General features: G+C 32.6%; 1 protein-coding gene across 2 annotated transcripts in view; it reads right to left on the reverse strand.

Annotated features, from left to right (window-relative positions):
- The window catches only part of SEMA3A (semaphorin 3A), a 536,949-nt gene that overhangs the window by 329,516 nt on the left and 180,965 nt on the right, over positions 1 to 26,468 (reverse strand). Inside the window, exons 3-4 of one of the 2 annotated variants that reach the window (XM_047419751.1) lie at positions 21,915 to 22,000; positions 9,750 to 9,839 (exon numbers count right to left, since the gene is read on the reverse strand). The gene's annotated coding sequence lies outside the window, so the exon portion shown is untranslated. The remainder of the gene's footprint in view (positions 1 to 9,749; positions 9,840 to 21,914; positions 22,001 to 26,468) is intronic. The other variant, XM_005250110.4, reaches the window with a different exon arrangement.

A 26,468-nucleotide genomic window follows, 5' to 3' on the forward strand; every position in this document is an offset into this window, starting at 1 on the left:
AAAGAATTTTTGACTTTATGCTCCACCAAAGGTTTTTCCAGGAAATGAAAGCAATACAGGCATAACAAAAGTATATAAGAAAAAAATATGTGCACATATACATGCAAGCATCCATGCGAAATTTAATTTTTAAAACATGCAGTTATGGCAGTAGGAATTAATAAATCTCTATTTAATAGAAAACTTATTATATTTCTTTTTCAACTAAATATTACAATGTAAAGGCTGGTGATGCCAACAATTGTAAGTGACTAATATAAATTCAAGCATAATAAATCTTTATTACTTTTAAATTTTCTCAGAGTTTCATTTAATGCTTTGTTTGTTTTACCTTTGGTTCTCATAAGGGAAGTTGAATATAAAGAAATAGTTGGCAAGGCATGGTGGCTCATGCCTCTATTCCCAGCACTTTGGAAGACCTAAGTGGGTGGATCAGTTGAGCTCAGGAGACCAGACTGGGCAACATAGTGAAACCTAGTCTCTAGAAAAAACACAAACATTAGTGGACATGGTGGTGTGGACCTGTAACCCAGCTACTGGGGAGGCTGAGGCAGGAAGATCACCTGAGTTGGGGATGTCCAGGCTGCAGTGAGACATGATTGTGAGACATGATTGACTGTGAGTGAGACATGATCGACTGCACTGTAGAGCCTGCATAACAGAATCAGACCCCATCTCAAAAAAAAAAAAAAAAAAGAAGAAGAAGAAAGAAATAAGAGATATTTCCTTTCCTTTGGTAACAAAAACATAGCCCTCAAATTCAATGTATAAACTGTAAGGATTAAAATTCCACTGAAGTCTTGACAGGTTCAATTTTGTTAAAAAATTTTAAAATTCACCTTCTCTTTCTATCTCAACTTTAAAAAATACATCTTAGTGGACTTTTTAATCTAAAGGAAGAAAAATTAAATAGATATGAGGCACCTCAACGTAGCTGTAATGACTTTGATTTGATATTCATCCAAACTAAATTATTTCATTCACATATTGAGTTCACATTGAATTCAGTGGCAGACAGTGAAGGAATGTAGAACAGATCAAGAGTAATGTCGATAAAGGAAGGAGTGGGCATAGAATTTCATTGTGAAATATGACGCCATCCTTTAAAAATTATTTCAAGAATTGCTGACAATGTTGTATCTAAAATAGTAGACTTTGATAAACAACAAATATAAATATGAGTCTCTAGGAAAGAAAACCGTATTTAAAGCTCTCTGATTTATTACCTATAGTTTGATGGATTCATATTTTATTAGATAATGATAGCTAATTATTTTTTGACAAAAATCATGTTAATACTTTATCTGATTCATCCTCAGAATGGCTCTTTAAAGATACAGGGCTCAGAATATGAGTAAAAGTTCAGAGAAATAGAAGACAAGGCAGCTAGAATTCAAAGGTAGTCCACTTTCCCCACCAAAAAAAACCCCTTTCCATCCACACCCTAACTCAGAGCAGCTCTTATTCTTCAAGAATATGTTGTACTGTTTTAGGACCTTAGCGAGGTTTTGATGTTTCAACTTTTTAATTGCAAGGAACTATATTTGCATCATTTAAAAATGCCATAATCATGTATTTCCAAGGATCTAAATATTTGATGTCATTTATCTCACCATCAATCTACATTTAATATTTAAAATAAACAATTTGTGCTGCATAGAATAATATGTAATGTTTAAAAACTATATTTATTTTTTATAACATGCACACAGAACAAGGAATTACTTTATGTGTTTGACTCACTATGCTTCATATCATAGTCAGGCTATTTTTATCTCTTGATGAAAGTAAAAATAAAGTTTGCATTACCTTAGTTTATTATTAACTAAACTTGTCACGTTCTCTTAATTTTTCATTCCAAATCATCCAAAGCCTAGAATCATAGCATTTTGGTTGTTTCAATATGAATTTTTCAAGCTTTATTGAGGTATAATTGACAAACAAAAGATGTATATATTGAAGATGTACAATGTAATTATGAAATAATTATCTCAATCAAGGTAATTAACACATTCTTCAACTCATCAAAAAACATCACTCCCATTTTTAAAAATTTTTCCTTACTCTTAAGGCAATTAAAAAAATTTTTAGTATATTCCATTTGCTTTGAATGTAAAGTATTTCTGTTTTTCAGTAATTCCAAAAGAGCATGTATTTCAGAAGTCTTTCTAATTGGAAGAATGGATTGTGATAAACTGTATACCTCAGTCACCAGTCTAACAGATGATCTTACTTCTCAAATAATACAAATTTTCACTTTACTAAATTTCCATATCACTTCATTCAATTTGTTTAATTTTTTTTCCCTATCTATATATTCGTTTACCTTGAAAAGTGGTCAAACTACATTTTCAGATTTATGATTATGTGTATTACTTGGAGGAAAATGTATATGAAGTGAAATTAGCACCACCAGTATTCTGTTCAGTGTACCATTGTGTAGACCAGCCACGCCAAGCACTCAAATGCTGTTCGTTTACAACTGATTTACCATAGTATCTGAAAACTCAGCATGTACTTTTGTGGTTTGCATTAGAAAGTTCTTATAAGACAATGAGAAGGACTATTTAATTTGACTAGTTAATTTTTAAACTCATAAAAATATACAAAAATAATAATAACAGGTTTCAATGCTGGGTTTAGAAAAATGGTAACAAAAGAGAAATTTTACTTTTGTATTCCAGTATCTCTCTGAGAATCATCACTGCACCACATGTAGATACAATGTGTAGTCCAATTTTCCCATGCTTCAGGAAATAGATACTTCCATCTTTATTGCTTAAAAATTTAATGAATCTTAAAATGTTTACATAGTTAATCTTTTTTTTAATATATATTTTTTAAGGCAGTGTCTCATTATATTGCCAAGGCTGGATTTGAACTCCTGGGCTCAGAAGATCTTTCTATCTCAGCTTCCCTAGTAGCTGGGGCTACAGGTGTGGCCCACCATGCCCAGCTAATCTTTAAACAAATTTTAAGTAAATTTTTCTAAAAAATATTGAATGTTTAAACGAATTAAATTTATGCTACCCAATTACACAAATAAGTGACACCCATAAAGTAATTTACATCATTTTAAAATAGTCAGGACATAAGATATTTAATCTAATCAATGCATTTTATAAATGAACACAATGAGGTCACAGAAGTTCAAAGACCATTTGGGGGGCCAAGGCGGATGGATCACTTGAGGTCAGGAGTTCAAGACCAGCCTGGCCAACATGGCGAAATCCTGTCTGTACTAAAAACACAGAAATTAGCCAGACCTGGAGGTGCACGCCTGTAGTCCCAGCTACTAGGGAGGCTGAGGAAGGAGAACTGCTTGAACCCGGGAGGTGGAGTTTGCAGTGAGCAGAGATTGCACCACTGCACTCTAGCCTGGGCAACACAGCAAGACTCCATCAAAAAAACAAAACAAAACAAAACAAAAACAAAAAAAACCATGCCAGTGTGTTCTCTGAACTTGGCTTATATATTGTTTGGTGGGCATGTGAATTATTACAGCCATTTTAGAAAAGAGTATGAGGTTCCACAAAAAAACTGTATAATCCAGCAATCCCACTACTGGGTACATATCTAAAAGAAAGGAAATCAGTAAGCTAAAGAGCTTACACACTCCTCCCATGTTTATTGGAGCACTATTTGCAATAGCCAAGAAATGGAAAAACCTATGTGTCCTTCCATAAATGAATGGATAAAGAAAATGTGGTATATATACATCCAGTGAAGTACTATTCAGCTGTTAAAAAAAAATATAATCTTCTCATTTGCAGCAACTTGGATGAGCCTGGAGGACATTATGTTAAGTGAAGTAAGCCAGGCACAGAATGACAAATACTACATTTTCACTCGTATGTGGGAGCTTAAAGAGGTGATCTCATGGAATTAGAGAGTAGAATAGTAATTGCCAAACTGGAAAGGGTAGGCGGGAGGACAGGATAGGGAGTGGTTCATTAATGGGTACAAAACTACAGTTAGATAGGAGCAATAGGTTCTTGTGTTCTATAGCACAGCACGGTGACCACAGTTAACAATAATTTACTGTATATTTCAAAATAGCTAGGAAAGAGGATTTTGACTGTTCCCAACATAAAGAAATGATAACTGTTTGAGGTGATGAATATGCCAATTATCTTCATTTGATCACTGCACACTATATACACGTATAAAAATACCATACTATACCCCATAAATATGTACAATTATTATCAATAAAAAATTAAAAATAATAAAGATAGATGCACAAACACAAAATAAATGCAATGAAAACCACAATGAGAAACTACTTCACAAAAACTAGGATGGCAATGATAAAAAATATATAATGACAAATGTTAGCAAGGATATTGAGAACTTGGAACCCACGCATGTTGCTGGTGAGAATGTAAAATGATTTTAGCTGCTGTGGAAAACAGTGAGGCTATTCCTCAAAAAGTTATACATACTGTTACCATGTGATCTAGCAATTCCACTTGTAGATATGTACCAACGACAAATGAAAACATGCCCATGTAAAAGCTTATACATGAATATTCATAGTACTACTCACAATAACCAAAAAGTAGAAAAAATCTAAATGGCCATTGATTGATAAATGGTGTATAAATTGTGGCATATCCATTCAATGGGATATTATTTGGCAATAAAGAGGAGTGAAGTAATGATACATGCTAAAATTGAATGAACTTTGAAAACATGCTAAGTGAAAAGTCACAAAAGAACAGAAATTATATAATTTCATTGATATGTCGATAGGCAAATCGATACAGGCAAGAATTTGATTAGTGCTTGCTTAGGGTGAGAAGTGGGAGAGAATGGGGTGTAAGAGCTAGTGGTTTCCTTTAGGGAAGATGAAAAAATTCCGTTATTAGATTGTGATGATAATTATACCACCTTGTAAATGTACATGGCATTGTATACTTAAAATTGGTGAATTTTATGGTATGTAAATTATACATCAATAAAGCTGTTTTTACAACCAAAAACCAAACCAAACCAACCAAACAAAAAAACTGTCTGTGTCCTTGGCTCATCTAGAATCCGAGGACCTCTTCTTTGATCTTAAATACCCTTGAAGAGGGTTATCTTTTATATTGCTTTCCATGTTATACTCTTTTCATTTTTAGATTTTACACATTTAAAAGTTGTTTTTTTTTTCCTATTTATCTTAACTGTGTCTAAGGAGCCATAATATTCTGAGTACTAGCCAGGGGATTCACACAGCTGAAGCTTCACCTTCCTTTCACGTGACAGCCTTCAAATTGTCTCCTTTCCCAAATTCCTACAGCAACACCCACAACTCCCGTGGCATGGTAAGTCCTCTCACCAGAATAGCAGTTCTCTTCTGAAGTAAGCCCTTTTAAAAATTAACTATTCATTTGAAATCTGAACATACTTTTATGGAAGTATTAAATGGGTCTATTGCTACTGTTGTTTCATGTACTAAACTTCAAGTAAATATGTTACCTCTACTGGACCACTTCATTCAGAGATGAACATTTAACTGTGGATTAGATGACTGTACCCTCTTGAAAAGATTTTACATGAGCAGATTGAGAAATAATTTGGAACAGAAAATCCTTTTCTTTGCCCCTAAAATCTTAAAGCATTATTTGTCTAATCATTGTATTGTATTTCTTTTACTTTGAAAAGGTCAGGTACCTAAATGAGAGCTAACATTTCTGATAAGATTGCTGATTAACTATAAACCTATGTTGATGTTCCATTAAAAACTGGACTGTAAGAGTTAGATTGTATACCACATATTGTTCCTGCTGGTATCAAGGAATCAATCATAAATTATTCTCAATAAACTCCTTTCTGTGTGTTATATTACCTTGGAATGATTTTTGTAGCATCTCATTATTTATCGTATTATATTCAATGAGCTATAAGATAAAAATTTTAGATAATAAATTTTTAGATACATAAATAATTTTTTAGGTAATATTACTTAGTATTTCTTTGTGTAAAGCATAAAACAGAATTTATTATTTGCATGATATAGATTTGCATTTCAAATTATTTATCTGTTCTTAATATATTTTACCCATTATTCCAACATATAATATTTGCACATAGCCAGTACAGAAATCTTGGGATCATAAGACTAAGGATTATCAGTGGTGTATCTTACATTCAATTTTTATTTTAAATTTATTTTACTGAATTCCTTTTCCTTCTGCATTGCCAACTAATTTTCATGACCTATCAGAAAAATGTTAAAAATTACGTAATGCTGTCTCTTCCATTAAAAAATAATTTATCTCATAAAACATTGAACATTTCCATTTGGAAATTTGTGTTACCATGTTCTTTCAAGTTGCAAAGGCAGGTAGTATTACCCCATAAAATTTTTAAAATAAGGAAGGGCCATCCAGAAATATAATAGAAGATGATTTTCTCCCCGTAAGTTGTTTAGTCTTTATTTATTACTAGGCTAACATTACTGACATCTGACACTGGCCATTCCTCAGTTCAAAAGTGAAAAGCCTCTTAGAAAGCAAAACCGTTCCTCCATTTTAGTTCCCTAAAGAGTTTATTCCTTTGGGCAAAATAGTCATGTGGAGCACCTGTGGTGCAAGTGCTAAAGAAATATCAAGCAAAACCCAGCCACAGCTGTGCTGTAATCATTGAAGTGTGCCCAGTGCATAATGGCACATTAGGTAGGCATTGATCTCTGCCAGTTTATGAGGTCTCTTACCGAATTAGGCAGACTTTTTCACTGAAACCCATGGAGCAGAAATTGCTACTTCTAAGCTAATCCATTTTCAAATTACCAACCAATTGTGACTGATGACCTCACTACAAATCTGCTTATCTACCTCTAACCACTCAACAAGCAAGGGAGAATAGATCATTATTTCCCTCTATTTTCAAATCTTTACAAAAGAAAACTCCTCTTGCCATTCTTAATCACCTTCAATGCCACTGCAGCTGTGAAGATAAGCATGTTAAATGTTAAATGCTGCCTAATTGTCAGTGCTTATTTGTAAGGAAAATGAGAAGGTAGAATATCTACTTACTATGGCACATGGTTTTATTAAGATTTAGTTGAAAAATTTCTGCTAAGCATTATTATTAATTTCATGTATTTATTAAAAATAATTTATTCAGAATTGAGTGATATTGAATACTTGACTAAAAAAAAAAAACGATTACCACATTATGCAACCATTTCTTGGTGTAAACTCTGGGTCTAGTTTAATCACCTGAGTAGATAAAACTCAAAACATGTAAGAGAAGAGCCTTTATTCTGAAAATAGAAGCAATCCTCCATACTTTAGTTAATTGAAGCCAATACTACGTAAAAATCTGTAGGAGGTAGAAAATGCACAAATTGGGGTTGGGCAAAATCTATTCCTAAACTCTCCCCAACAAACTTTACCACAGAGGATAACATTAGTGACGTTATGGTCCACAAAACTTGATAGTTTCAAGAATGTGTAAAGAAAGAATGTAGTAAAGTGATGCTGACTTGCATTTCTATTAGAAATTATATTTTATTTTACATTTCAAAGGCCTTAGGACATATTTTAAATCAATATTTTAACATATATTTTATAGGTTATTTATGTTGTGAAAAACATATTGCCCTATTCTCTGAAAGTTTTTCATGTTGACCATGTAGATGAGGCCTAAATGGTAAATATATTAATGTATGTATAAGAAACTAATTTACATGTTTGTTGCATTACATTATATAGAAGTAGAAATTTAAAAACAGTTCTAGCAAAATTGTAGAATTTCTGTTTACAGATTCATTGGACAAAGCACTAGTTATAAAAACTTGGTTTTTGCAGGGTGATGGATAAGGAAGAAAAATAATTATTTCTATGTCTATACCTAAAGCACATTTTAAAAAATGTTTCTAACTTGAACATAATTAAAATTCAAAGATCTGTACCAACCATTGCTGTGACGCATCTGCCTAGTTGTTTTATCCGTACCCTATGCCATGGACTGACATAATTACCTATTCAGAGCCAGTTAGGAACACTTTGTTTTGTTGAAAGAATAGCTTCTCAATGGAGTTGGAATTGCTTTCTCATATTTGCCTTTTGATTGATATAACTATGTCAGAGTTTCTTTCTGAACATGAATCAATAATTTTTTTTTGTATTTGGCATGTAGACTAGGGCAAGCCATTTGTAAAGCAAGACAATATTATCTACTCCAACCTACCTACTAATAGACATGAGAAAAGTATCAAATTAATTTTCAGATGCAAAAAATATAACAATTACATATTTTGTTAAAAATCTTAATTTTAAAAACAACATTAAATTCTTAACTATCTCTACAAGTGGATGGGGAGAAGTCACAGTTCCATAAATTATAAACACTAGTAATACAAAAATATTTCAAGTTCATTTCTCTCATTATTTTACAGCATTTCTTTATGTTTTTGTTACAATTAATATTTTCAAGCAAAATCTTAATAGGTTTACCTAAATTAGTCAAAATATAAGAATCCGTGTAAGGGGAAAAATTAAAAACAATCCGTATATGAACTTCATTTCTTATGCTACAGGTTTCCAAGGTTAACAACAGCCTTTTCCATACCCTTCTTCACATAGATGAAAAGATGTATACTTATATATCATACACATTGAATTTGTTATTTGTTTAAAAAACAGTATTTCAGTGTCACAATAAAAACACTGTTTAGCAAAAATGGCTTTTTCACAAAACATGTCAAAAGAAAGCCTCCAGTCAAATGTATGGATCTGACAAACACTTTCAATCAAGGTAAAATATTCAATAATATGGATCAAAACCACAATACTTAACTTTTCCCCAGTGATGAACATTTTGTATATTTTTGGAGGGTTTTTTACTTCTCTCCTTGTCTATTTGTCTTGCTAGTTATTATTTTATTAAGATTATACATGTTTATTTTAGTAGATATTCCTTTTCATGAATTAATAGCAATTTTGGATTTTTACAAGCCATGAGCGTGCCTACTTCCTGGCACCATAGGAAACACTGATTGGCTTCCCCACTTTTAATTTTCACTGACCTGAAGGAAGGAAAACTATCTCATTACCGCTGTAGTTGGCAGTTTCCTACTAGTAAGCTTTAGAACCTTTCATATGTTTGCTGCATATTTTAGCCTGGTTTGCAATAATCCCTTATTTATATGATTTGCTCAGTTTTATATTAGGATATTTGTCCATATTTATCACCATAATAAAATAAATTAAATTCCTATATTCTTCTCATGGGAGTTACATGAAGGCTAAATGAAGACTGAGAAGTGGGCGCTCTGCCATTTTAGCACTTAACATATTTCATTGAAAATTTTATAATATTGCTCTCATGATGGCATATTTTGATTGTAGGACATTTATTTTTACTCCTCTTTTACTCCAATAATTTATAATAATACTTGTAATCCTCTAAATATTCAGAAAATAAAGGTTGAACTGGTAAAATGGTGAGAATACATCTTCAATCAAACTGTCAGATACTTTGATCAAGCTGCGAGTGAAGGAATCACATCTCATATATACGTGTCCCCCCACAGAAAGTTGTTCAGAAAATACTTCTGAGTTAATTGTAATTGGTTGCTCAATCTTGAAATCTTTTTCCTAACCTTCCCATTTCCTCCCTGGAGGTAACAATAGGTCAGCTTCAAGTTTAAATCTGTCAGTGGAGAATGCTGGGGGCCCTTCTTTCCTGCTGCTCTCTGTAGAATCTTTATATAGCAAAAAGTTTTTAATGTTAATTTTTCTTAGTTTCCTTACTTTTAGTATTATGTTCATTCCATCCAAACTTGGCAATTGAAGACTGTGTGGAATTTCAACTAACACATCTCAGATGTGCATGATCTCAGCCTGTGGGATATAAAAGGATTTGATTTAGAAGGTACCTCTGTCCAACTTTGTAGTCTAGACTAGCAATTGGTCTAGAATATTTCTATAAGACAATGGTCTCTTGGTTCAAAATAGACATTAATCAAAATGCTGACAGTATCATTTTGTTGTTAAATGAGTGACATTAGATTCATTATTTTTTTTTTATATCCTTGCATTAAGCCAACCAGGCTGTAGAGGTAAAGATTTCCGTCATTCACAAAATGTGAATGTTGCAATTTATCTTTTGCTTGGGGCAAAATTTTTCAAAAGAATACATTTTTAAGTTTGGAGAATATCTGAAATGAAATCCGCATGTTTGCAGTCGGAAAACTGTCTTCGCAGGTCTCAAAATTAGGTTTCCATAACTAGGCTTTCTATTGACTGTGTGATTTGGGACAAATCAGCCTGCCTTTCTTTTCTCAATTCTTTCGTCCTTATACTTAAATAAATTATGCAGAACAACCTATAAAATCTATTCTAAGTCTAATTTTGTTGTCTTTGGTTTAAAAAAGAAGCAACTAATAAGTTAACAAATTTGTAACTATGCCCTCTAATATTCAAGCCAAAGTTTAAAAAATGATTGTTTTTCAACTACATTTTGTACCTCTTCTTGGTGGCATTTTACTCTCAGTTATAATAAAATACTTTCATTATGATTCCGAAAATAAATAAACCAATATATTGAGGGTAATGATTGTAAAAGCTTTTGATAACATATTACCATGTCTGGATTTGGTAACTTAAGTTATATCTATACATCCACAATTCAAAGCCACTTTTACAATACACTACTCATGTTGTGTTAGAAGCAGCAAGAAATCATGAAAATGATTCAGCAAAATACATCATATTTAGATGTAAGCTTATTTAATCACACAATCAAGTTACTAATTGAGCAACTACAAGAGATAAAACAGTACACAGAGAATTCCTGACTTAAGAGAAAAATGTAATATATAGAAGACCTGTCTTAAGAAACAAGTATATTCCCACTTCAGTTACCTGAGTAGCTGGGATTAGTGTAAAATATGAACGTATTTTTTTTTGTGGTGGTGCTATTTAGCTAAGATATGAAGGTTTGTATAGCGTTAGCTAGATTAGAGGATGAGATTAAAATTAGGCATTTTGACAAACCAATCATATGATGTAATTATATCAAAATGGCCGCTTCACATGTGTACCCTCTTTGTAATCATAAATTTGAGCAACACGCTTATCTACTAGTTTAGAAATTACATGACATTCATGGTTAGAGGTGGAAGGATATTTGTTTTACATATTATCCAGTAATAAAAATTTAAATTCCTCATTCCATCAGGTCTCATTGCTTTCTTGAATGAATCTGTAGCAGAGTGGCAAGCCTATGTAGCAAGTTAGAGTAGTGTTGCTTTACAGGGGCTTCTTTACCACTTAAAAAAGAAATTTGGGATGTTATTTAAATTTATTATAAAACTGCAATTGATTTTTTTCTAATGGTATAAACAACTAGAATCTAGATGTCCTGAAACATTTTTATGATTGCATATGCTTTTATTTTACTCATCTTTGTACCTCCATACTCTTTGTGATAGCTTTTAAATCAATATCCAAGGGAAATTTCACATTGTGAGTAGCAAATTCTACAAGATGTTAAGGGAACAATCTTTTAAAATGTCATTATTATTTTATAAAAAAAATGTTTTTATGGCAAAATTCCAATCAAAATGTCACACATTGATGAAATGATATTTAAAGGTTTAAAACCACTTCAAATTATGTCAATTTTGTCATAGTATTCAGTAAGATGGCTTTCTAAAAACAGTTTGATATTCTTTTCTGAGATTTATTTTTATTTTTATTTTTGGGATGGAGTTTCGATCTTGTTGCCCAGGCTGGAGTACAATGGCACAATCTCAGCTCACTGCAACATCCGCCTCCCAGGTTCAAGTGATTCTCCTGCCTCAGCCTGCTGAGTAGCTGGGATTACAGGCATGCGCCACCATGCCCGGCTAACTTTGTATTTTTAGTAGAGACGGAGTTTCACTATTTTGGTCAGGCTGGTCTCAAACTTCTGACCTCAGGTGATCTGCCGGCCTTGGCCTCCCAAAGTTCTGGGATTACAGGTGTGAGCCACCGTGCCCAGCCGAGTTTTTAATCACACTTGGTAAAGCAGTACTTAAAATACAGACAGTTCAGTAATTTTATCTGAACTTCTCTGCCCTTCTGATTGAAAAATAATTCCATAATTTGATCTTAATTTTTTTGACTTCACAATTTTAGAAACCAAACAGAATTGTCCTTAACAAAGAAAGCTCAAGGGCACTTGCAAACACATATTTAGAATAAAATGAGATAAAATTCCCTAAAACTTTGAGGGTCTACTTTTCAACTTTCATAGTATAGATGAAAATAAATTGTTCCAGAATACCAATCAAAATAACTAATCTACATAGGTCTTTGTGCAATGATCTACAAGTCTCAATTTTGTTAATACCCTGCTGCTCTATAATTATTTCTTTACCTTTGTTATTATAAGTTCTGGCTAACTGTTGGTTACATTTCCACTAAGAAAGAGGGAGTAGGACAGTTTTCATAGCAACTGTCTCAGACCTCAGGCAAATTCCCAGTGACTGTGGGTAGCACTCCTAGACATAAATTGTTGCAAAGTCCAGCTGTAGCTCAACAGGGATATAGTTTTAATGAAACCCAGATGAGCTGCAACTGTATTTCAGTCTATACTCCCACTTCAGCTCTAGTCAATTACCTATGGTAATAGGAGGACAGAAATAACATGAGTAATGAAATCTGCAGATAATCCCAAGGCATCATTTTAGCCAATAATTCCCAATCTCTCCTGTATTAAACCTCTTACTAAAACTTCTTAGCATGTATTAAAATGGACAGATGTGAATCTTTGTCTCTTCCTGTGGTAAAGATGTCAATAAGTTATAAAATGATCCTAGAAATATGGCCATAAAGGAGGGAGAACTGATTCATCACTGGTACTGTAGATATTTATTTTTGAGAAACTCAGGAAATTATTTCTTCTGCCTATCAAACCTACGGAAACATATTGCCATCATTCATAATAACATATGAGTTAAATAAACCTATGAAAATTATGTAATTATTTATTAAGAACATAATATGAATTCTAATGAAACCAGACAGATTAAGCACAAAAGTCAATCTCCTCTCCCATTCTTAACCCCAGGAAAGGCATAGCAGAGAATTAAAACAAATAAACAAACAAATATATTCATCCATTAAGACAAGGAGGAAAGATAAAAGTGACCACCTCAACATAAGATTTCAAGGAACTGGGGGAATAATGGATTCACATAAAATTTATTAATTTAGCAAATGGGAGTTAGAGACCTCTCAGGATAAGCAAGCCCATTCACTCTAAGGAAACTGGGAGATAATCAGCACTAACGGCATACTCTACCAGAAGAAGAGATGAGGAGGCAACAGTTCCCTATACCTTGTTCCAAAAATATCAGTAATCAGCAGATATTTCTCCTTTGCCAACTATTGAAGAAACTAAAAAGCACTGAAGAACTTTCTACATATTATCTGTGATGGTTAATATTGAGGGTCAACTTGATTGGCTTAAAGAATGCAAAGTATTGTTCCTGGGTGTTTCTGTGAGGGTGTTGCCAAAGGAGATTAACATTTGAGTCAGTGGACTGGGAAAAGCAGACTCATCCTCAACCTGGGTGGGCACCATCCAATAAGCTGCCAGCAAAACTAGAATAAAGCAGGCAGGAGACGATGGAAGAGGAGACTTGGTGAGTCTTCCAGCCTTGATCTTTCTAATGGGCTAGATGCTTCCTGCACTTGAACATCAGACTCCAAGTTCTTCAGCTTTTGGACTCTTGGACTTACTCAGTGGTTTGCCAGGGGCTCTTGGGCCTTCAGCTACAGACTGAAGGTTGCACTGTCAGCTTCCCTACTTTTGAGGTTTTGGAAGTCAAACTGATCCACCACTGGCTTCCTTGCTTCTTAACTTGCAGAACTTGCAGACAGCCTATTGTGGGGCTTTACCTTGTGATCCTGTGAGTCAATTCTTTTTAATAAACTCCCTTTCATAAAGATATAAAACAGTGTGTATATATATATATATATCTCCATATATATATCTCCATATATATATCTATCTCCATATATATATCTCCATATATATATATATCTCCATATATATGTATCTCTCTCTCTCTCTCTCTCTCTCTCCCTCTATATATATATATATATACACACATCTCCTACTAGTTCTGTGCCTCTAGAGAGCCCTGATTAATCATTTGGTAGTCCAGAGTAAAAAGACGGATGCACTTATTGGTCAATATAAACAGCAGTCTAATAATCCACAAAACACCCTCTAACCTCTTCCATACCCAGTCTAACTCCCACCCAACAGAGTACTTTCAAAAATGGCTTGATTTCTCACTTATAAATACCAATGGACAGCTTAGAATTACTTGACCATGAGGAAAGCTGATAATGTAAATAATGAACAAAACCCTCCAAAATCTCTAATATAAAGAGAACTTGGAGGAAATAATGAGGAACGTGAAGACCATGTCAAATCCAAACTATAAATGACATTCTCTAGCAGTAAGAAAATACATTTAATCTATTAAAAACAAACAAGCAAACAAATGAATAAGACTAGATCACCTGAGGTCAGGAGTTTGAGACCAGCCTGGCCAACGTGGTGAAACCTCGTCTCTACTAAAAATACAAAAAAATTAACCAGGCATGGCGGCAGATGCCTGTAATCCCAGCTGCTTGGCAGGCTGAGGCAGGAGAATTGCTTGAACCAGGGAGGCGGAGGTTGTGGTGAGCCGAGATCATGACATTGCACTCCAGCCTGGGTGACAAGAGTGAGACTCAGTCACAAAAAAAAAAAAAAAAAAAGAAAGAAAAAGAAACTTAGGAATTAAAACTATGATAACTGAAATAAGAACTTTAGTAAAAGTGTTGGAAGATAAAGTCAAGAAAATTTTTCATAAAGGAGAAAATAAAATAGAAAAAAAAACAAAATTAGTGGATCAATTAAAGAAGTCAAATATCATATTTTTAGGACTAACAGACTAGAAGGAAGAATATATATGCATATATTTCATATATATACATTTCATACACATATACACATCTTGATATAAATACACAGAAAATTTCCCACAACTGAAGGGAATGAGTTTTCAGGTGGAAAGCATGTACTTAATCTGTAGTATAATGAAAACAAAATAAAGCAAATCCCAAAAGGCATAACATAATTACACTTGAAAATATCAGTGATAAAAATAAAATTCTAAAAGCTTTTTATTTTGGTAGGGGCTACATGTTACACAGAAACAGAAATCAGAATATATTAAATGTTCAACAGCAGTACTACACATATGGCTTAAAATGAAGACACAAATAATAAGCATGAGAATGCTGGAATGACTATATGAATGCCAGCTAAAATAGACATAAAAGCAAAAACATTATCAAATATCAAAATAAAAAGCAGATAATAACAAAATAGTCAATTTATAAGTCTAAAAAATAATTACAAAGTACAAAGATACTTGACTGAATTGAAGGAAGAGAAGGAACATTGCATAGTTATTAAAAGAGATTTTATTTAAAAAAAAGAACCAAAAATATTAATGAAATCTTGGTGCATCGAGATAATGCCTTGAAGCATCTTGACCTAATTGATATTTTTAAAGGATATAGTCATTAACTGAAAAGTACACAATGTGAGTGGACCAGTCACTTAGTTCGACACATTCTGGGCCTTAAAACAACTCTGAATAGATTTAAATTATTTCTATCAGAGTATGTTCTCTGACCATAGATTTAGAAATTAATAGTAAAAAGATATCCAGAGAAACATTAATTATTTTATGGATTAAAAAATTCAATAAAAATTCAGGAGATGTTTTTCCTGCAGGGGAGGGGAGTTAAATGGATCAAAAACAGATTATAAACTTTGAAAACTACAAGAATAAAACTCTTAGAAGAAAACATCAGAGAAAACTTTTTAACCTTGGGGTAAGCAAAGGCTTCCTAGTACTCAATAGCACAAGTAAAAAAATAAGAAGAAAAACATATTGTACTTCATCAATAATAAAATTTTTGCTTTTCAAAAGAAGCTGAAAAAGAAAATCACAGAATGGTAGAAAATATTCACAAAACACACACACACATGCATATATCAAAGAATTTGTCTTCAGAATGCATAAAGTGCTCCTATAATTCAATAATAAGGCCAGAAAGCCAATGAAAAAGATAAGTAAAAGTTTTGAATAGGTACTTAAGGAAAGAAGACATGTAGATGGTAAATAGGCAAATTAAAATATGCTCAATATCATCAGTTATCAGACATATGCAAATTAAAGACCTATTTGGATAGCACCACATACACATTAAAGATTCATGCCATGAAGTTTTGCTAGGATGTAGAGTAGGGGTCAGCAATTTTTTTGTTTTAAGGGCTGAATAGTAAATATCTGATGCTTTGAAGGCCATAAGGTCTCTTTCACAATTACTCAATTCTGCCTTTGTAATATGAAAGCAGCTTGTTCATAAACGAATGTGCCTGTGTTCCCATATACTTCTATTCACAAATAAACCTGAATTTGGCTTAAGTACTATAGTTTGCAGAGCCCTGATGCGGAATGACAGGAACTCTCACAAACTGCTCAGGGGAATGTCAAATGGTACAACCGTTTTGGAAAACTGTCATTTCTTCAAAGTTAAACATACACCTACCAAATCTCCCTGATTTTCCAATCCACGTCTTTTTCAAACTAAATGAAAACACATATTCATACAAAGACTTGTATACAAATACTCATAGGAAAGCAATTCACAAAGGACAAAAGATGGAAACAACTATATATCCATCAAGTGAATGAATAACCAAATGTAGTATATCCATATAGAATATCCATTCAATGGACTACCATTCAGTAATAAAAAAAATCAACTACTAATACACATAAGTCATAGATAAATGTATAAATTATTTGCTAAGTGAAAAAGTATACACTTACATTTATATACTTATTTATATGAAATACAAATTAATGCATAGTATCAAAAAAGGAAAGAGTTAGGAATAATTTTTCCTGTGTGATAAAAATATTCTAGATTTTGCTTGTGATAATGGTTTAAAGGATATACACTTCATTAAAACTCAAGAAACCTGAGCCCATTAAAATAGATGAAGTTTGTTTCATCTAAATTATTCCTCAATAAAGTTAATGAAGAAAAATAAATGTGTAGAGAGGACTCCGCCAAAACGTTTTTACATACCTCAAGGACTTTTTATGCAGAGTGTTTTGCCTTTCATACATGTATCAACAAATATTTAGCCAGCCATAAAATCCCCTTCCCCAAACAGAGTAGTTCTCTGAAGTGCTATATTAGATGTGTATTTTAAAAATTACTCAATCTTTCTTGCTCCTTTAATTTTACTCATTGACAGATTTTATTGGTAGAACGGGGGTCACACATTTGTTTTGTTCACGAAAACAAAAATTGCTGCTTATGACAATGATAATGAATAATGGAAATAATGGAAACTATCAAAAGAGTCCCAAAACAAATGAAAAAGAAAGTTTAGTAAAAGGGATATCTTGGGAGCCAGATCTTACTACATAAGGGAAACAAATGTAGAATTAGAGTTGGTGTTTGGGGATCTTGGTTTCTGTAATTTGTATTCATCTTTGCCCCAATTTCTTAATGTAAACACTGAGATGATTTTTCTAAGTTCCTTCTGGCTCAGAAATTCTGTAGACCTAAAAACACTTAGTACAGATTAGCAAAGAAAAAGAAAAAGAAAAGAACAGTTTGAGGAAAGAAGAACTAATTAGCCAGCAAAATAAATAGATAAATAACTACTCCATCTGAATTTGAAGTTGGACTTGTGCAAACATGCAATGAAGTTTTTCAAAGAGGTAGGTGACATTCCACACCTACTCACAGCCATTCCAATCCCCACCCTCACTGGGTGCAGAGGAGGTTAGGCATGTATGCCAGATTCTCTTTCGGGGCAAAACCAAGCCTCTAAGCACTCTTTATGACCCTGTGGGCACTAACATTTGAGTCAAGGCCGTGAGGTAAGAGCTTGCTACTTGACCGGGTCACTAAGGTTGCTTGTTACTAAAACTGAGTGTGAACTCAATTGCAGCATAATTTTCTTAGTATGCCCAAGCCATCTCTTTTTTTAAAAAAAATGTCTAGGAATTTTTAAACAGGGAAAACATGTTCTAGTTCCTTCAAACATCTTGTAAGTGGTTAGAAAACAGACTGAGATATAAATATGGTATAAGCTAAGACAACTTATCTGAAAATCAAAATTAAGTAACAATTAGTAACAGCTAAAATAATAGGTGAACATATTGACTAGTCTTCATTTGAAAAAAAAAAAGGTATTAGTTTGTTAAATACAGATAGTCCCCGACCTGGCACTGGTTCAATTTAGAAATTTTTCAACTTCACAATGATGCAGAAGTGATAGACATTCAACAGAAACTGTACTTGGAATACCCATACAACCATTCTGTTTGTCATTTTCAGTACAATATTCAATAAATTACATGAGATATTCAACATTGTATTATAAAATAGCTTTGTGTTAGATAATTTTGTCTGACTTTAGGTTAATATAAGTGTCTGAGCATACTTAATGTAGTTTAGGCTGTGCTGCCATGTTTGGTAGGTTAGTTGTATTAAATGCGTTTTCGACTTACTATATTTTCAATTATGTGTGGGTTTATCAGAATGTAACCCCATTGTAAGTTTGGGAGTATCCATCCTAACATTTTCTAGAGAATTTTAAATGCTCTTAATGGCTTTGTTTTAACTCAATTCACTGGCCATATTTCCATACCAAAGGTTCTTATTCTTTCTTTCACTCACTCACTGAAGTAATATTGCCTGTCCCTTTAAACTGGTGTGTGGAGGCAGGCATAAGGAAGAAAAAAATAGGGGTTCATAAAGCATTCAAAAGAAGCTCCTCATGGATGAAGGTGTTTAAAAACCAGAAACATGGGCAGAAATGCTTTAATTTACAAAATAGATTCATAACATGAAGTTTTGCTAGGATGTAGAGCAGGGGTCAGCAATTTTTTTGTTTTAAGGGCTGAATAGTAAATATCTGATGCTTTGAAGTCCATAAGGTCTCCTTCACAATTACTCAATAATACAATTTTTGAGAAGTGTTATAATAAATAATTACTTGCCAAATAAAGAATGCTTTTCAAAGAAAGAAGAAAAATATTTTTCACTTCAAAAAGCTTACAATCTTGAAAAGAAAAATAAGACTTTACTCAATCATTAAAAAAGTAGAATGGTTTTACGAATAAGATGAATATACTTTCAAAACTAACCACAGAAAAGAAAAACTATTTCAAAATTCAATTTATAAAGTATTTCAAAATATTTAGATAAGTTAAGCAAATAAAATTAAGTACTGCTGGCACTAATGTATCAATGAGAAAATGAAATTAGGTAGAATAATTTTCTCAAAGTCAAATATAGTGACACACCTTGGAATTCCAGTGCTATCTGAGTCTATAGTGCAATTTCACAAGCGATCATATCCCTACAAACCAGATCAAACTTATTCAATGACCATATAAAAATAAATGCATTTAAACTTAAAATAGCAAATTATATACTACTGTTGATCTTAGCATTCTGGTTTTTATCTATTTCCTTGTTATCCACATATTTTCAATTTCACTTTTAGCTAATGTGGAATTTTATTTACTTTCCACTTTTTAAATAAATGCTTGAAATCTTTATTATGAGATTGCTAGTAAGGCATTTGTATATATTTAATCTAAAATTTGTTTAGAATCAAACATATATGGAGCCATGTTGAGGGAAGAGTCAACAATGGCAGAACTATTCTCAGATTTGGGAGAGGAAATAAATGTATCATGGATCTTGCTATGTAGGCATTGCTTAAGCAAATAAGTTATTTACTGACAGAATTAGACAAGAAAAATATACTGTCTACGCTTTTAAATAATTATTTATATAAGCTATTTCAAAACTCACTTGATATGTTAACAATTCTTTTTTCAGGTTACTTCCAGTAAAAAAAAAAAAAAAGCAAAAATAGTAGATAAAATGAAGGTCTGATAGTCCCCAATTTGAGATGACCAGATATTTTCCAACCAATTGATATTTATGTATCCTAGCTTATATGTGTGTTACCCAAAACTTAGAATCATAAATTAAGTTCCACAAATAGTTCAATTAGATGCAATATCTGGAAGTAAAATTTCATCAGATTTTAGTCATATTTGCTAAATATTTTGAGTTTTCATTGGTTGACTTCTATCCACTATCCTGTTTCAATTCAATGTGTATATTGTCAATTGCATTCAGTGATTTAAGACTCATCCATATGAGCTCTTGATGTTTTTATAAATGAATTTTTAAGTACTGGCTAGATCCCAAATAAACATTAAAAGACAATGGTGGCAATGACAGTGACACCAGCTCTATGTATCACTTTGGCCTTTATACATTTGAAACAGATTTTAATTAGTACCCAGGAAATTTGTCTCATGAATCTTGCCTCCTTTACTGGTGAACTGGGAAGCAATTGTAACTGAAGGAGGAGAGGTTTATTATTTACTGAAAAAGTAAGCAAGTGTTTTGTCTTTGTGTGTATGATGCACTCATGAAAAATAACATCCAGGAAATTAGTATTGTGGAAGTCTGAAAATTATTCTAGCCAAATAATGAATATATACACATATATATTAATTCATATATGTATATATACATGTATTAATTTATATATACATGTGTGTATATATGTATGTATAAATGTACATGTATGTATTAGAGAAGTGGTACTACAAGTCATTTTTGAGGTTTTTAGTGCTCTACCAATTCTAAAGATATGAGGTATATTTCCCATAAAAGAATCAAATATCCATACCAATTCAATATGAACTCTAACAATTTCAACATACTTCTTAAATCAGTAAATTTTTGCCTTATATGATGTGATAAATTTTTTTTGTGTATGTAAATGATATTTCCATGTAGCATTATATATTTTTTCATAAATTTTTTACTTTTATTGGTACTAATATGAATAACCTAGGAAAAATGTATCAGTTCACATTAAATGGGGATAATCATCCAGTTAAATCAAAAGGAACCCAATAAAATTGTGAATTCTTCAGATTTACTAAAATAAAAATCAAAACAAAATTGACAAATGAATTTTATTCTACTCAAAGGTCCATAAGAAAAAAAGAAGCATATTTAAATTCAGTGTTATTTTCTCTTAACAGTCCCATACAATATAGATCTTCAAGAATATGTTTTCATTTCTTTGTTCATTGTAGCCATTCCTTTTAATAGCAACATATGTAACCGTGATGGAATGGTAAACTTAATGTTGCCAAATTTTCTTCCTACTTTATACAATGAAATGAATCCTGAGAAACCTTTATGGTTGAAAAGCATTAAAATAAGTAATACAGTATGTATACATTCAGATTTCCTGACTGTATTTTACTTTACAGGTGATATTTCAATCTCACATGTGAGGTCAAAATTAAGATGGTGTAACACATTATAAACTGACTTCACCCTGAGTGTGGCACTCAGCCTTTGAGTGGATTCTGGATGATAGTAACCATATGTGGGCCAATAAATGTAGAAGGAGCAGGTTAGCCAAAATATTTTTGTGGATAGCAATATGCTCACATTCCAGCTATCTCTGCTCTGTGGCTCCTGGGGAACCTCACAAACCCAGTGAAATTCCCAAGTCTGGAGATTTTTTTTTTTAAACCAAAATGGTAGCAATCCACCTCTTGACATTTCAAATGGCAATTCCTACAAACTGATTTTTATTTCAAATGTTGGAGCCCTCTCATCTACCCAAATAATTCTACAGAAGACTATATAAACAAAAAAAGAAAGTGCTCTTAATTTTTAAAAATTATCTTATAAATTATATGCCACAGAAGTGCAGTAGTATCTCTAAATTTTCACTAAAACTTATTAACATGCCAATGTGTATAAGTTTAATTATCTTACCTTCTTTTAGGAAAAATTCTTAATTCCTGAGATACAATGTGTTCAGTCCAACTTGTTATTGTAAGTACCTGGGCACTTTAAATACCCTATAAAAATAAACAAGTTTATTCTTAAAATTTAATATAAATCAAACAATTACCAATCAATTAATATATGCTCCACTTAATTAAAAGTCAGTTTAAATTTCTTCAAACAACCCCTCTATCTTGTGTGGGATAATGTAATGTATGAAGGTAAAGGAATTATGGAAGGCAGGTACTGAATTTGGCAAACATTTTATTCTGGCTTATCCAAACAAATGACAATTTGTAATCACTAATCGGATTTGATGGAGTTTGAAAAAATTCAGTATTTAGGCTCTGGCTCTACTAAAGAATAACTGATTTATTTGAGAATTAGGTAAAACACTAACATGCTCTATTGATTTGCCCATAATACTATGATGTCATTAATATTTTTCACCACTGGTGATGAAAGGCTCACACTGACAACCCAGCTAAGCAGTAATTTCATGACACTGTTAGTAAGTAACCGGATTTCACTTTAACAAAAGCTTTTCCTTTTTTTCTGGATAAAGGAAATATACCAAATATTTAAAGTAAATAGAAATTTTAAACAACAGAATTTTTCAAACATGAAATTTAAAATGTGCTTTGGAAAATTTCATTATACTAAAATAGATGCTTTGTAACATTAATTGTACACATTTCATAGTTGAATAAATAATGTAAATAACTTAGAAAAGAAAATAAAGACAATTCAAAGCTGGGCCGAGGATTTAATATATTTGAAAAAAAAGTAAAATTTGGTGAAAACAAAAAAAGTATGCAATGGAGATTCATTAGCTAAGTTATTAACCTTATTAAACATTTTAATCTTATTAAAGTAAAGAAAAAAAGATACAGGTTCTAAAGTAGTATTTCTTTCCAATCTTTGTTTTTTCTTACTGTACTATTTTGGGAACTATAGAATATTTCTATATTACCATATATTTAAAAAATAGAATATATTGTCCTATATGCATTTTTCGGCAGACATTTATTGGATCCCTTACTGTGTGATAGGATTAGATAAAATTTAGTGAATTATTTTAAGCAAAGAATTTATGCTAGGTATATAGGTAAGTTATCAGAAAATGGTACCCCAAATGTATATACAAGCATTTAAAACTCAAATGTCAATACCATACCAAACATCCCTTGGATACATGCATCATGAGATGGTGAAATTATCTGAAGTTAGTGATTAGATGGAAAACAAGTTCTTTGTGGGAGAGGAGTCAATCAACTGAGAAACTAGAATTTTTGAAGACTCATCTGGGTGGATATTGGAATTGCCATAATATATGACAAGAATGGAGTTGAAGAGAGTGACAGTGAGCTACAGCTAAAATCTTAACAGAAGTCGGGAAGGGGCCAGAGGTTGGTGGAAGACTTCTCTAAGGGGTAGTAGCAGAGTAGCAGAGAATATCTACTGATGTCTGGAGAACATAGCTAGGAGATTTTAGGGAGGAGAAATGGTATTGATCAGGAAGCGGCACTGAGGAGCAAAGAACATTATCCCAATCCCATTCTCAGTGACTTAAGTGGAGTATGAGAGAAATATCACTTTTTTTTTCTTTTTTTTTTGAGATGGAGTTTCACCCTTGTCACCCAGGCTGGAGTGCAATGGCGCCGTCTCAGCTCACTGCAATCTCCGCCTCCCGGGTTCAAGCAATTCTCCTGCCTCAGTCTCCCAAGTAGCTGGGATTACAGGTGCCTGCCACCACACCCGGCTAACTTTTGTATTTTTAGTATAGACGGGGTTTCATCATGTTGGCCATGCTGGTCTTGAACTCCTAACCTCAGGTGATCCGCCTGCCTCGGCCTTCAAAAGTGCTGGGATTACAGGCGTGAGCTACCACGCCCGGCCAAAATATCCACCTTTTAAAAGCCGGTGTGTGATGCAGAGTCATCAGGCTTCATTTGGGGTGGTGATAAGGGGGAAATATACAAAAGTGAAAGATAAAAGGGCTTTGTTGTTGAGTTCCGGAGAGGATAGTGAAAGAGTATCCAGAGACAGAGAAAATTAAAGGATGAGGATTAGAGTCTTAGGGATCAGGAATGACTTGGAAGTTCTGAGTTCCTTCTGGTGACTGACATAAAATGAGAAAATGAACATGATGAGTTAAGTCCTAATTTTTCCTAAGCAGACAATAGTGATGAGGCTATGAAGGTCAGTGGGAGCAGAGAGATGGTTGTAAAGTCATGTCAGGAGTGTTCAGATTGTTCAGGTGTCCACTTAACTCTTGATGATGGACCTCTCTGACCCAGCAAAGGGTGTGTAAAGTCCTCTTGACTTCTACTGATGGACCCTTCTGGGCTAGCAATGGGTCAGCCTTTCTCCCTTGACCCTAATCAGCATTGGTCTGTAGAACATATACCACGTGTGGGCTTCTTTCTGACATACACAGTGTTATGAAATAATAGGATAGAAGGAATCCTAGTATTCGTTTGCTTGGGATGGTCAAGGCAGTCTTCTGTATTGGTAATATTTTATCTGAGACCTGAAGGAAGACTATGCTAATATTTTGATGAAGTGTTTTCTAAATCGACAGAGCAATAAATACAAAGACCCTGAGGCAAGATCATGCATTGACTATTCCAGAAACAGCAATAAAGTCAGCAAGCAATGAGTGAGAGAAGGGTGATGAGAGAAATATGAAGATGTAAAATAAAATATGCTTATAACTATAAACCAAATTTAAATGATAAGACAATAAACTACAAACATTGGCAAGATCTATAAAATACAATTCCTATTTTTGAAAAGTGCATTGATCAAATCAAAATATTGTAGAAAACATACATAAGCTACGTTAAGTATAATTAAAATAGCCTAATTATACAATGGAGGTTTTAACTATTTCAGGTATCTCTATTCCACATTGACTCAATGCAGTCATCATGCTGGTTGAAAATATCACTCTAATGCACAGAATATTGTTGAATTCAGTAGTATAATGATAATTAGAATATACATGTCTGACAAGAAAAAATATACATCTTCTCTAATAATGTAGAGAATCTGCTTGTACAAATGAGTTTTTCACCTATCTTTGGGGAAATTATGTGAGCCAAGCAGGTACCGGCAGATACAAAATAACTGATCCAACCTGACAGTTGTTTTTTTTTTATTCACACCATATAATTTTTGTTTAAAAAAATCTGTCAAAAGAGGTTCCATTAGTGTCAGGTAAAGATTCCTAACAAGCATAGTTTTCACTTGTTCTAAAATGATAGTAACAAGTAAAACTTAAATGGGAAACTCCTATTACAAATAGATGATAATTCTTTATCTTATCTATTTCTTTTCTTTGATCCTGGTGTTCTCCTGGAAATTCTAAAGGAGTTGTGACTTTGACAAATCTGATGTCTGCTAGTTCTTACGGGGCCGTACTAAGAACAAATAAAACATTATACTTTCTGCTGTAATTGTTTTCATTAAGCCATGATTTACTAGCAGTTAGAACTGCAACTTACACTGGTCATTTTCTTTTAAAATAACATAGTGAAATTATTGGAAAGATTTAAAGCTGTTATTAATATTGCTAGAAAATTTCATTTCAAATTTAAAATATTTCCCTCACTTTCTCTTCTCTCCATCCATCTCGCCTTCCATTTGTCTCTCATGAGAGGGTGGGAAGATGAGGTAATTTGGGCAATAGATATAAATAAATTAAAAACAAATCAATTAAGGTTTAATTTCATTTACATGCAGATTTCCAAGTGATTTTTATTAGAATTAGTAGATGTTATATATATATATATATTTCTAATGGCTTGAAGTTGTTACACTGAATATTGAATGTACACTAAAATCATGCAAATTTAAGTAATTTCAAACAATCTTATCTTTAAACATGCAATTTCAATATTTTATTAATAATCTGAAAATACTTGTTAAACATACTATATTGGGCAAGGTTTTAGGTGCAAAATTAAATTAGACATACAACCAAAATATAACCTTCTGGCCAGCTGGGACTTGTTTTTTAGTTGCTTCCATATCCTCAGTGAATAGAACAGTGCCCTTCAGGGAGTTACATTCAAAAATATCTAACAAATATACACTTTATGTGAATGTCTCTATTAGAATAAATGTATGTATTTGAGTAAATGAAGGAATGTGCTCCCATCTCCTTTCCTCTGTTTTACAGAGGGAGTCACACAAATAAGTTAGTACACTGTAGTATGTGATGAGTATAATGATGGCCATATATAATGAATGCTTAGCAAATGTAGAAGTAATAATCTAAACCAGATTACAGGGTTTTTTGTGCTCCCAAGTCTATGAAGAGAAGACTAAAGATGAATGGTAAAGATTTATAGTACACCCTTCAGGGGTTGATATATACATTAGGCACCATAGAACATTGCTCAGGGAAGGCAAGTACACTTTTCCAGCAACCAGAAAAATATTTAAATTGTGAAAAATGTTTTAGTTTCTATGAAAAAAGATATGCAAATTAAAAACTAAGAAATTTTAACTAAATGTCTATTAATTTACCTCTCA

The sequence above is a fragment of the Homo sapiens genome, chromosome 7 (genome assembly GCF_000001405.40).
Source record: "Homo sapiens chromosome 7, GRCh38.p14 Primary Assembly".
Lineage (NCBI taxonomy): Eukaryota > Metazoa > Chordata > Mammalia > Primates > Hominidae > Homo > Homo sapiens.